Source organism: Homo sapiens, chromosome X, assembly GCF_000001405.40.
Source record: "Homo sapiens chromosome X, GRCh38.p14 Primary Assembly".
NCBI classification, from domain to species: domain Eukaryota; kingdom Metazoa; phylum Chordata; class Mammalia; order Primates; family Hominidae; genus Homo; species Homo sapiens.
The window spans coordinates 73,984,487-73,998,370 of NC_000023.11; the positions used below are offsets into that span (position 1 = coordinate 73,984,487).

A 13,884-nucleotide genomic window follows, 5' to 3' on the forward strand; every position below is an offset into this window, starting at 1 on the left:
CTCCCGGGTTCAAGCGATTCTCCTGCCTCAGCCTCCCAAGTAGCTGGGATTACAGGTGCCTGCCACCACGCCCGATTTTTTTTTTTTTTTCTTTTGAGACATTCTCACTCTGTTGCCCAGGCTGGAGTGCACTGTGCAATGGTGTGATCGCGGCTCACTGCAACCTCCACCTCCGGGGTTCAAGTGATTCTTGAGTCTCAGCCTCCCAAAGTACCTGGGACTATAGGTGCGCACCACCACACCCGGCTAATTTTTGTATTTTTAGTAGCCACAGTGTTTCACCATGTTGGCCAGGCTGGTCTCAAACTCCTAACTTCAGGTGATCAGCCCGCCTCAGCTTCCCAAAGTGTTGGGATTATAGGTCTGAGCCACTGTGCCCAGCCAGGTTATATATTTTTTGAACGAGCTTTGGTAGTTTGTATCTTTTTTTTTTTTTTTTTTTTTGGAGACAGGGTCTCACTCTCTTGCTCAGACTGGAGTGCAGTGGCACGATCTCGGCTCACCAGCACCCTCCACCTGGAGCGATCTTGGCTTACTGGCACCCTCCACCTCCCAGGCTCAAATGATTCTCCTACCTCAGCCTCCCGAGTACCTGGGATTACAAGTGCACACCATTACCACCCAGCTAATTTTTGTATTTTTAGTAGAGACAGAGTTTTGCTATGTTGACCAGGCTGGTCTTGAACTCCTGACCTCAAATGATCTACCTGCCTCGGCCTCCCAAAGTGCTGGGATTACAGGTGTGAGCCACCGCACCCGGCCTCTATATTCTTTGGTAGTTTGTATCTTAAGGAATTAAAAGATAAAAGGTGGATAAGAAAAGATTACTAAGGAAGTTATTTCATCGATTTTTGGTTTGGTGTTTATTATTTTCTTATTTTCTGCTTGCTTTTTGTTTAATTTGTTCTTTTTCTAGTTTCTTAACTCCAAGTCACTGAATTGAGGTTTTTCTTTTTCAAATTGGCATTTTGTGCTGTTTTTTTCTACATACGTTTTTTGGTGTCACCCCACATATTCTGACATTTTCATTTTGATTCTGTTCAATATACTTTCTGATTTCCCTCTTGATTTCTTTTTGGTCCTGGAATGTGCTATTTAGTTTATGTATATTTAGGGATATTTCAGAGATGTTTCTGTGACTGTTACCTATTTTAATTCTCATATGGTCAAAGAATATACTTTGTATGAATTACATTTTTTAAAAATTGGTTCAAGATTGTTTTATGACCCAGAATGTGGTATGTCTTGGTAAATGTTCAGTGTCTTCTTTAAAAAATGTGTGTTCTGCCATTGTTGACTGAAGAGTTATAAAATATCAGCTAGGTCAAGTAAGTCATTTGAGTTTTCAAGTCTTTTATATCCTTAGTGATTTTTCTATCCACTTCTGTCATTTATGGAGAAAGATATATTGAAGTCTTTCAATCTAATTGTGAATTAGTCTGTTTTTCCTTGAAATTCTAGTAATTCTTGCTTAATTTATTTTGAAGCTCTGCATAGACTTTTAACACTGTTAAGTCTATCTTAACTTCTTTGTCATTATGAAATGGTCTTCATCCATGGTAGTATTCTTTGTTCAGAAATCTGCTTTGTCTGCCCAAGGGGTCTTTGGTCTGTAGGAAATTAACCCATGAAGGAAAGAAAACTTGGAAAAATAATTTAAAAAATGATTGTTTTTTAAACATAAATCATTTTTAAATTATTGATTCCAAGGGATTGCTGATAATAAATTTGTTCAGGCTGTGTTAAGACTTGCATCTTTTTTTTTTTTTTTTTTTTTTGAGACAGAGTTTCGCTCTTACTACCCAGGCTGGAGTGCAATGGCGCATCTCGGCTCACTGCAACCTCCGCCTCCTGGGCTCAAGTGATTCTCCTGCCTCAGCCTCCTGAGTAGCAGGGATTACAGGCATGTGCCACCACACCTGGCTAATTTTGTATTTTTAGTAGAGACGAGGTTTCTCCATGTTGGTCAGGCTGGTCTCAAACTTCCGACCTCAGGTGATCCACCCACCTCGGCCTCCCAAAGTGCTGGGATTACAGGTGGGAGCCACCGTGCCCGGCCATTGCATCAATTTTTTAGTAATAGATGATGAAGGCGAGTGCTAAAACTGTGAAGACTTAGAACATTTTAATATTTCTGAAAATTAACTTTTTTCAGTTTTGAAAATTACAGCTTCTAAATAAAATACTGAATTTTTAAAAACAAAATTAGATTTAAATATATAATGTTTAAAGATAAAAAGTTTTATGATAAAATATGCCACAAACAATTCGAAAGATACCTAACTTGCTTTGTGTATAAAAGGTAAATAAAGGCTTGGCTGGGCATGGTGGCTCACAGGAGGCTGAGACAACAATCACTTGAGCTTAGGAGTTTGAGACTAGCCTGGTGGGTAACATGGCGAAACCCAATCTCGACCAAAAATACAAAAATTAGCTGGGCATGGTAGTGTGCGTCTGTAGTCCCAGCTACTCAGGAGGCTGAGGCAGGAGGATCCCTTGAGCCCAGGAGGTGGAGGTTGCTGTGAGCTGAGATCACGCCATTTCCAGCCTGGGTGACAGAGTAAAACCCTGTTCCAAAAAAAGATAAAGGCTTGCTATTTATGCCATTTCAAGGAATTAGTAAGAAAAATCGTAGATTAATGGGTAAAATAAATGAATAGTTAATTCAATGGCAGTGCTTATCCAATCAATAAAAGACATAAAAATGATACTGAAGTAAATGCAAATTTGTAGTGTTAGTACAAGATCCTTTCTCATCTACTTTATTGGGATAAAATTAACTGGATACAACTACTGTTGGCAGTGATGGGGAAAGGTTACTTTTATATATTGCTTGTGGGAACTGTGAATTTTCACTTTCTTTTTTGGATAGGTAGTGCTTTGGCCTCATCAGGGAGCTCCTGCTTTAAGCACCTCTTCATGCTTTGAGGCCACATTTGTTACTCAGACTTTACAACAGTGGCTTTGAGTTCTGCCCTGTTTCTGGTACCTGAGGAATTTCTTCTCATCCTTTTGGTATTTCTTATGTATTTTTATTGTTTTGTTTTGTTTTATTCAGCATTTCTACTTTCTGTTGCTTTGGGTGAGGTTTTCTATAGCACTTAAGTTCACCATGACGACTGGAGCACATCACAATTTTTTTTATAACCAGACAAGTTGTCCTGCAAATATTAAGGAGACTGGCAGATGTTATCAAATATAAAATAACTATTGGGATTAACATCTATAAACCCTTCTTGATCAAGGTATTTAACAGTCAATTATAGTTAACCAAGAAGTAAACAAAAATAACACTGGAATAGAAGAAATGTGACAGTGGGCTGGTGCTATTCATTGAATCCATGTAAGTATTGAACTAGAAGAGCAACTGAGGGAATTAAGATTGCATAATAAAATGTTTTTCTGAAAGGTGTAGGAATAATTATTGAGTGCTAATCTTATCATGGTATGGTGCCAATACTTACTCTAAAGTTACTATGTGGTAAAACATTTTATATATATATTATATGTGTATAATATATATAATTTATGCATATAAATATATTTTATTCAATTATTTTTATTTTATTAATTTTATTTTATATGTAAATATATATTCATTTATATACATAAATAAATACAAAATGTTTTACCCTATTTTTTATTAAAAAGTTTTTTCAGTGGTCCTTTTTTAGGTAGTTATATTTCTTGTGAAATAACATTTATCTGAACATTAGTAACTCCTTCACTGTCATTTTGCTCTCATTTTCCTGTCTTTATAGCAAGTAAAATTAAATGGAGTAATTTGAAATAAATTATATAATAAATGGCATTAAAATAACCCCATTTTAAAATATTGAGGTATAATTTACATACATTAAAATGCATCATAGGTGTTCCATTTGACAAAATAGATCACATTTTCTTTACTCCTGAAAATTTCCTTGTGCTCCTTTCCAGTCAGTTCTCCTCTTCCCAGTAGCCACTTTGTGGTATAATCCCAGGTTCCCAGGTTAATGAAATTATTTCTAACTGTGTTTTTAATACATTCACATTTTTCTTGCTAAATTATATGCCAAAAAATGTCCAATAAATGTTAAGCTTTTTAGGATGATGGCAGTTTGGGTAATTCATTGCTTTCTTATTTATACTTTTCTGTATTGTGTTTTGTTTTTTTTTTTTTTGAGACAAGGTCTTGCTCTGTCACGCAGGTTGGAGTGCAGTGGCATAATCATAGCTCACTGCAGCCTCGACCTCCCAGGCTCAAGAAATCTTACCACCTCAGCCTCCCAAGTAGCTGAGATTACCGGCACTTGCTACCACATCTGGCTAATTTTGTGTTTTTTTTTGTAGAGACAGGGTTTTGCCATGTTTCCCAGGCTGGTCTCAGGGACTCCTGGGCTGAAGCAATCTGCCAGCTTTAGCCTGCCAAAGTGCTGGGATTACAGGTGTGAGCCATCATGCCTGGCCTTTTTTGTATTATTTGATTTTTTATTTTAGGTAGTAAGTCTTAGGTTAAAAAAATCAAAACCTGATTATTAATTAAATAAGAAAAGAATATTTTTTAAAAAGGCAAATGCTTCAAAGCAAAACTGTCTTCCATCCTAGGAAAGGTATGAACCAGAAAAGAGCAGGTTCAAAGAGAAAAAGGGTATGAAGTGTTTCTTAGATTAGTGTTTGTCATAATTTTGAGAGCTGATGATACTAATCCCTGAAATAGAGTAAGGAAAATTGAAAAAAATAAAAGAAAAAAAGAGCTTTGTAGTTATATGGAGTTGGTACCTTTCTGTTTGTTATTATATATGAAATATTGTAAATTTCTGGCACCACCAATCATAACATTTAAGTGTATTCCAGAGCTGAATATAAATTATTCTATTTTTCAAGTTAATATATAGTGTTGTCAGTATATGTTGAATGAAATTGCCCCTTAAGTTTTCATTTACATCTTATATTTATCTGGTTTTACTAATTAATTTATTCTGCATTTTTACTGAGTGTAGCCTCAGTAAAAACCCTAATGTGGGTAGGCACTGAAATTGTTATTTGAATAACACATCCCTGTTTGCAGTGTGATATGAAGAAGGGGAACAGAGGTTCAAAAAAACAGAGAAAGCAAATAGAAAATAAGTAAATGGGAGTCTTAAGCAACTATATTGTTAATGGGCTAAACACTTCAATTAAAAGTCAGAGATTATCAGAATGGATTAAAAAGCAAGACCCATTTATATGCTATCAACATGAAATTTACTTAAAATATAAAAGTACAGGCTGGGCACGGTAGCTCACGCCTGAAATCCTAGCACTTTGGGAGGCTGAGGTGGGTGGATCACCTGAGGTCAGGAGTTAGAGACCAGCCTGGCCAACATGGCAAAACCCCATCTCTACTAAAAATACAAAAAATCGCCAGGCATGGTGGCGGGTGCCTGTAATCCTAGCTACTTGGGAGGCTGAAGCAGGAGAATTGCTTGAACCCGAGGGGCAGAGGCTGCAGTGAGCCAAGATTGCGATTGCGCCACTTTACTCCAGCCTTGGCAAAAGAGTGAAAATCCGTCTCAAAAAAAAAAAAAAAAAAAAAAAAGAAACCCTTGAAGGTACAGATAAGCTGGGGGTGGGGTAGTGCTATTAATACATACAAAATAGACCATAAGACAGAGTATTATCAGAAATAAAGAGGGATTTTTCATAATGTTAAAAGTATCAATTCATCAGAAAGCGGTAGCAATCATAAATTTATATATGATTATAAACATATTTTTATTAAAAATATATAAAGTGGCTGGGCGCGGTGTCTCACGCCTGAAATCCCAGCACTTTGGGAGGCTGAGGCGGGGGTGGATCACCTGAGGTCAGGAGTTCAAGACCAGCCTGGCCAACATGGCGAAACCCGGTCTCTACTAAAAATACAAAAGTTAGCTGAGTGTGGTGGTGGGCGCCTATAATCCTAGCTACTTGGGAGGCCAAGGCAGGAGAATTGCCTGAACCTGGGGGACGGAGGTTGCAGTGAGCTGAGATTGCCCCACTTCACTTCAGCCTGGGCAAAATGGTGAAACTCTATCTCAAAAAAAAAAAAAAAAGTATATATAGCAAAAATCGACAAAATTAAGAGGTAAAAGATACTTTTACAATTAGTGCTGAAGATTTTTACCACCCTACTCTGACCAATTGATAGAATTTCTAGCAAAAAAACAAAATTAGTAAAGACATAGATGATCTGAGGAATACTACAAACCACCTCAATATAATTGATAAGTATTGAACACTACTTCCCCGAATTGTGAAGAAGATATTCTTATCAATTGTACATCATATATTCAACATAGACCAAATGGTGGACCATGAAATATGCCTTGATAAATTTTTTGTGTGTGTCTTGATAAATTTATTTATTTCTTGAGACAGTCTCACTTGCTCTGTCACCCAGGCTGGAGTGCAATGGCGCGATCTTGGCTTACTGCAACCTCCGCTTCCTGGGTTCAAGCTATTCTGCATGCCTCAGCCTCCCGAGTAGCTGGTATTACAGGTGCATGCTACCACGCCTGGCTAATTTTTGTATTTTTAGTAGAGACAGGGTTTCACCATGTTGGCCAGGCTGGTCTCAAACTCCAGACCTCAGGTGATCCTCCCACTTCAGCCTCCCAAAGTGCTGGGATTACAGATGTGAGCCACCATGCCCAGCTGGTAAATTTAAAATGATTGAAATTTATATATGTTCTGTCACCACAATGGAAGTAAAATTAAAATAGAAATTATTAAAATATCTAGGAATGATCCAAATATTTGGAAATTAGACAACACAAGTTTAAATGATCATGAGTCAAAGGGAAATCACAATTAGAAGACATTTTTAATCGAATGGTAATGATAATATAATGTCAAAATTCATGGAATGTAGCTAAAGCAGTGCTTGGAGGGCAAATTATAGTTTAAATGCTTTTATTATAAAGGAAGAAAAGTCTAAATGTCAGTAACCAAAGTTTCTACCTTAGGAAGCTAGAACAAGAACAGCAAAGTAAACCTGGAGTAAGTACAAGTAAGGAAACAATAGAGTAGGAATCAATGATGTGGAAAACAGATAATAGAGAAACTTTAAAAAGCCAAAATCTGGTTCTTTGGTAAGATCAACAACAGTAATAAACCCTTATCTTCAGTGAACAAGAAATTGACAATGCGACATGTTGTAATAGTAAAGGAATAAAGTACATAGTGTGGAACACAGAGGCTGATCTGAATTTGGTTTTCAAAGGTGGTTTCAGAGAGGTGGTAAAATTTGTGTTTGGCTTTCAAGAATTAGTGTAAGTTTTTCCTGATACAGATTGGGAAAAAGAATATTCTGAGAGGAAATAAGAGCAAAATAATTTTATTTTTCAGGCTTTTGGCATATTTAGAACCGTATTTTTATTTTTTTGAGACAGAGTCTTGCTGGAGTCCATCGGTGCAATCTCGGCTCACTGTAACCTCTGCCTACTGGTTCAAGCAGTTCTGGTGCCTGAGCCTCCCAAGTAGCTGGGATTACAGGCATGTGCCACCACTAGCCCCAGCTAATTTTTAAATTTTTAGTAGAGATGGATTTCTTCATGTTGGCCAGGCTGGTCTCGAACTCCAAGTCTCAAGTGATCCACACGCCTTGGCCCCCCAAAGTGCTAGGATTACTGGCGCGACCCCACAGCACCTGGCCTAGAATGGTATATTGACTTTATCTGTGGCATATGGGTTATGTTAGGTGGAGAGCAGTAGGTGATGCAATAGGAAAAGCAGTTTGAGTCTAGAGTGTACAGAACCTAGAGTACCTTCCTTGATAACTTGGACTTTATTCTGTGTAAAATAGCAAGCTTAGCGTCTAAAGTTTTTAAAGGAGTTTTTTAAATGAAATATTTCAAACAGAAAATACATAGAATGACATACTGAACACTTATTACCGCTACCCTGCTTTAACAAATCTTATACCTTACTATATTTGTTTCAGATTTTAAGAAATTAATACATCATAGATACAATTGAAGCTTTGTACCTTTCCATCTCATACCACCATGAAGTTCTATTCTGAAGTCATATATCCTTACCATGCATTTTTAAAATACTTTTACTGTATAGCTATATACTAATAAAAAGGTGGCATTCTCCATGTTATTAAAGTTTCTTAAAAATGCTATCTATATTTTACTTATTCTGCAACTTGTTTTTCTCACTTATTATTATTTTTGACTTATGGGATATTCCGGAAGTTTGGACTGGTGTAACCACAGTAGTTATTTACGGCCAGTGTCCTTTCTTCTTTCTTTTTTGAGTTAACCAGGATACATTTATTAAATATATCCAGGATAAATATTCCCAAAAACAAATATTTGGTAAATATGGCAAACTTATTCTTTGGCAAATTAGCTTTTAGCATGTTGGACTGCTTTCCATCCCTATTAGGAGTATTATAAGGATTAAATGAAGTATTACCAACAAAAAGGTACTTAGCAAAATTCTCAGTAAACATTGGTTATAATCCCTCCAACATTCAGACTTAAGTTCTGCCTATTCTCTTTCCTCAGTATTCTTTATTCCTGTCCATATAACCATTGTCCTTTTGTAGGCCTTCACTACCTTAATGTGGACTATAGCAATAGTCACTTGATTGGTCTCTTGGCTTGTTCCCCTCCAATCTTGTTCTCTACACTACTGCAAGGGTGATCTGTCTACCACATAGATTTTGAATTATCATCTACAGTAGTAAAACAGTTTTCATGGCATACAAGCTTCAATAATTTAGTCTAGATATTCCGCTTGATCTCTTTTCACCTCTTTTCCATTTATCTTCTAGCACCACTGCAGTGCTTGTAGTTCCTTAAATATGCTATTCTTTTTGAAAAAGCAGCAAATCTCTGTGCAGTTGCCTTTCTAACTGGAATATCTTCCCCCTTCTTGTGTTCTCACAAAATTCTTATTCATCTTTCAAGTTCTAGCTCAAATGCCACTTCCTTGTAAAGGTTTTCCTGATTTCCTTAAGCAGATTTGGGTTACGTTTCTAGGGTTCTGCTGCTCTTTGTACATGCTTCTATTATAATGCTTATATATATTATTGTAGTTGTTTTTTAATTTTGTCTGTCATTCTAATAGACTGTAATCTCCTTGCAGGAGGAGATCTGTCTTTTCATCATTTATATAATAATGACTATTGTACCTAGAATATAAGTCATTGACATTTGTTGAATTAAAAAAATTCAGAAATCTATTTACAGCCCTCTCTACTGCCTTCCCATGACACCTCCATTTTACAGATCATTAAGCTGAAGCCCAATGAAATGAAGCTATTTAGTGAGAACTCATGCCTCCTAACTCCAGATCTATTACTTTTATTCTTATATTGTAGAGAATATTCTGTTTAGCATGTATATACTAGTTATTTATATTATAAGAAACAGTCTTGTCAGTATTCTTCCTTTCATCTCTAGGGAATAGGTAGAAGGGTATAGTGATTTTATGAGATTTGTGTTTTTTTTTCCTGTTTCAATCATTCAGATGCTTTTGTTTTCTAGCAAATTCAGCAAAATTCAAGGTTTTCTTCATGTCATTCCTTTTCTTTACCCTCACAGAACTCAGGTAGGATTGAATGTCTGATGCATTTAGTCCAGTTGTCCTCAACCAGGGGTGGTTTTGGCCCCCTAGAGGGCTTTTGGCAAGATGTTTAGAGGCAGTTTTTTAAATTGATACATAATATTTACCCATATTTATGGGGCACATGTGATATTTTGATACATACATACCATGTGTAATTGGTTTATCTGTCACCTCAAACATTTATCATTTCTTTGTATTGGTAACATTCTACATCTTTTAGCTATTTTGAAATATACTTTCTGTGGGTGCTTCCTAAGCACCCTTACTTATAACCTTATAACCACAGTACATTTGTCAACCTCATAAATTTACACTGATATCATACTTTTGTCTAAACTACCTTCCATGTTTTATAAAAATGTTTTCTTAATAGCATTTTTAACCTCTTCAATACTGGATCCAGTCTAGAAGCAGGTATTACATTTGGTTGTCATGTATTTTTAGCCTTCTGTCATCTATGGTGTTTCCACAGCCTTGTAAAACTGTAGTACACTATCCCAACCAGACTATTCACACTGTTACAGTCTAGATACAGAATGGTTTCATGATAAGGTAGTGAGACATTTTAAGATATATTCCCTGTGGATTTGGCATTCATTGATTACCCTTTTCCTTGCTCATTCTTTACCTTGGTTACTTTGCAACTGTAGTACTCCTGCTAGATTTACTAGTCAGGCCTTAGCAAAATACTGTAAGCACAAGACCTCCCTTCTCCCTTATTTGTTTAGTACCATGAGGGACTCATATTCCTACCCTTTTTTTTTTGAGATGGAGTTCGCTCTTGTTGCCCAGGCTGGAATGCAATGGCATGACCTTGGCTCACTGCAACCTCTGCCTCCCCAGTTCAAGTGGTTCTCCTGCCTCAGCCTCCCGAGTAGCTGAGATTACAGGTATGCGCTACCACGCCCGGCTAATTTTGTATTTTTAGTAGAGACGGGGTTTCTCCATGTTGGTCAGACTGGTCTTGTAGGAGAAATAGACTTCACTAAAATATTACAGCCAATTAGTAAAAATAAGACAGTAAATAGTAACACCTTGTCCTGGAGTGATAGTAGCCAGTATTGCTACCATATATTACTGACAATGTTTAATTTTCAACAACAAAAATAATTGAGAGATAAAGAGAAGTAAGAAAACGTGACCTTATGGGGAAGAAGACTGGCAAAACATCTCAACTTTGAAGGCATAAGATGTGTTACTAAGCAGACAAATATTTCAAATTGGCCATTATAAATATCTTAAAAGAACTAGAGGACACCATACCTCAGGAGGCAATGATATAATTACAATAATTTTGCAACTAGAGAATATAAATAAATAGGTAAGAATTATAGAAAAGAACCATATGGAAATCTGGAGTTGTAAAGTATAATAACAGAAATTACAATTCATTAGAGAGGTTTAATACTAGATTTTAACTGGTAGAATAAACAATCATTGAATTTGAAGATAGATTGATAGAAATCACCCAGTTTAAAAAATACAGAATAAAGAAGTAAGTAAAATGCAGTTTCAGAGAAATGGCAGAAGCCATTGAGAATACCAACATATGTGCAGTGGTAGTGCCAGAACATAAGGACAACGAGCTGAGAGAAAAAATATTTAAAGAAATAATACCTGAAAATTTTCTATATTATGAAAAAAAAATCCAAGAAGTGTAAAGAATTTGAAGTATAATAATTGCAAATATATTCCCCCTTAGACACATCAAAGTAAAATTATGAAAGTAAAAAAACATCTTGGAAGCATGAAGAGAATAATGGCTGATATACAAGGAAACTCTAATAATACAGTAATAATTAAGGCCACAGTGGAGGTGTATGACATATTAATAGTGTAGAAGAAGTAAATTCAAAATTTTACCTGAAGCACGACTGACATTCTTAAATCAAAGTAAAGACATTGCTAGATAAACAAAAACTGGGAATGTGTTCTTAGCAGACCCACCTTGTAAGAAAAGCTAGTTTTTGAGAATGAAGAATACTGACCCCAAACTGTAATTGAAATTCCTATGAAAAATCAGAGTACCAGTCATAATTATGTAATAATTATAGAGGCTAGTATAAATGCATATTTTTTATGTATTAGCTGGCATATATGCCTATACACTGTATACTTATAAATATTCATATATGTGTATTGTGTGCAGTATTTCCATATTTGTATTTGTGAGCTTACAACATATAGAAATGAGATCTATTTAATAATATCACAAAGTATGTGGTTGAGAACAAAACTGTTGTAATAAGGAAATGAATCTTTTTTTTTTGGAGACAGAGTTTCGCTCTTATTGCCCAGGCTGGAGTGCAATGGCACGATCTTGGCTCACCACAACCTCCACCTCTCAGGTTCAAGCGATTCTCCTGCCTCAGCCTCCCAAGTAGCTGGGATTACAGGCATGAGCCACCACACCCGGCTAATTTTTTGTATTTTTAGTAGAGACAGGTTTTCTCCATGTTGGTCAGGCTGGTCTCAAACTCCCAACCTCAGGTGATCTGCCTGCCTGGGCCTCCCAAAGTGCTGGGATTACAGGCGTGAGCCACCACACCTGGCCAGGAAATAATTCTTGATGGTAACTCAGATCCACAGGGGTAATATAAAAGAACCAGAAATAATAAGAAGGATAATAAAATGCTAAAAAAAAATTTTCTTACCATTCTTCTCTGACCTGATTATATAAAATTATATAACTAAGTATATAATTTTGAGGATTTTATTGTATTATAATAATGGCTGAAAAGGGAGAAGTTATAGAGATATATAGAGGTATAATGATTTTTCCTTTCTTTTTTTTTTTTTTTTTTTGAGAGGGAGTCTTGCTCTGTTGCCCAGGCTGGGGTGCAGTGGTGTGATCTCAGCTCACTGCAATCTCCACCTCCTGGGTTCAAGCGATTCTCCTGTCTCAGCCTCCTGAGTAGCTGAAATTACAGGCACGCACCACCAGGCCCAGCTAATTTTTGTATTTTTAGTAGAAAAGGGGTTTCACCTTTTGGCCAGGCTGATCTCGAACTTCTGACCTCAAGCAATCCACCCGCCTTGGCCTCCCAAAGTGCTGGGATTACAGGCGTGAGCCACTGCGCCCAGCCCATATAGAGGTAATATTTCTATATTATACTCATGTTAGTGTAAATATGAAGTCGAGTCCTTTAGGATGTGTAAGAAAAGTCCTAGAGAGATGTCAGTGACATAATAGAATTGGAGCTGCCTCATATACACTATGGAATACTGTGCAGCCATAAAAAAGGGTGAGTTCATGTCCTTTGTAGGGACATGGATGAAGCTGGAAACCATCATTCTCAGCAAACTATCGCAAGGACAAAAAATCAAACACCGCATGTTCTCACTCATAGGTGGGAATTGAACAATGAGAACACTTGGACACAGGGTGGGGAACATCACACACAGGTCTGTCGTGGGGTGGGGGGCTAGGCGAGGGATAGCATTAGGAGATATACCTAATGTAAATGACGAGTTAGTGGGTGCAGCACACCAACATGGCACATGTATACATATGTAACAAACCTGCACATTGTGCACATGTATCCTAGAACTTAAAGTATAATTTAAAAAAAAAAAGAATTGGAGGTACCTGTTTTGTCCCTCCTTTCATGGATACACCAAGTAAGTACATGCATGTGGATCAATTCTATCCAAGAGAAAGCCAAAATGTAGTTGAAGGATGCTCACACACTGGATGACTGAGAAAATATCTACAACAAAATGGGAAGGATAAACTGAGGTATACTGATGGTTAAACCTCACCTTGAGCACAGGCTGGTATAATTTGGAAAGAATCCTTAACTCCCACCCTCTTCCTGAGGGGTGACGGGTTGATAGCACACATATAGTGTCCCAGTTCTTACATTCTCTACCAGAAGGCTTGGCCCTTAAATCCCATTATATGAGGAGCACAAGGACTTGGCACTAGAGTATTTCCTTGAAGAACAGTAGAATGGGTGGGGGGTTGAACTGCAGGAGCACTTCCAACAGCTGTATCTCCTGGGATCAGTATACCCTCTAGCTTCTCACTGGAAACAGTTTGGCTGCACATTTCTAGCAGCTTCTTGTGTTTGTGTCTTCTATCATGCCTGCACCTAGGAGCCCGTGTAGCAAATGAAGCATAAACCTCCTCAAGTGTTAATGGGAGGGATGGCACTCCCTACATCTTCCCTGGATTGCTCTAGTGATTAATCCAGGTCTATAGTTTCCCTTGAAAGAGATTTGAGGCCTCAGTGAGCAAAAATGGAAGGGTCAAAACCCACCATGCCTTTTCCCAGCTTTCTCCAGATATGTATAACC

The 13,884-nt window shown here is 37.1% G+C and overlaps 1 long non-coding RNA gene across 1 annotated transcript in view; it reads left to right on the forward strand.

Annotated features, from left to right (window-relative positions):
• The window catches only part of JPX (JPX transcript, XIST activator), a 126,061-nt gene that overhangs the window by 40,163 nt on the left and 72,014 nt on the right, over positions 1–13,884 (forward strand). Inside the window, exon 3 of the long non-coding RNA NR_024582.1 lies at positions 10,354–10,475. This is a non-coding gene — a long non-coding RNA (JPX transcript, XIST activator). The remainder of the gene's footprint in view (positions 1–10,353; positions 10,476–13,884) is intronic.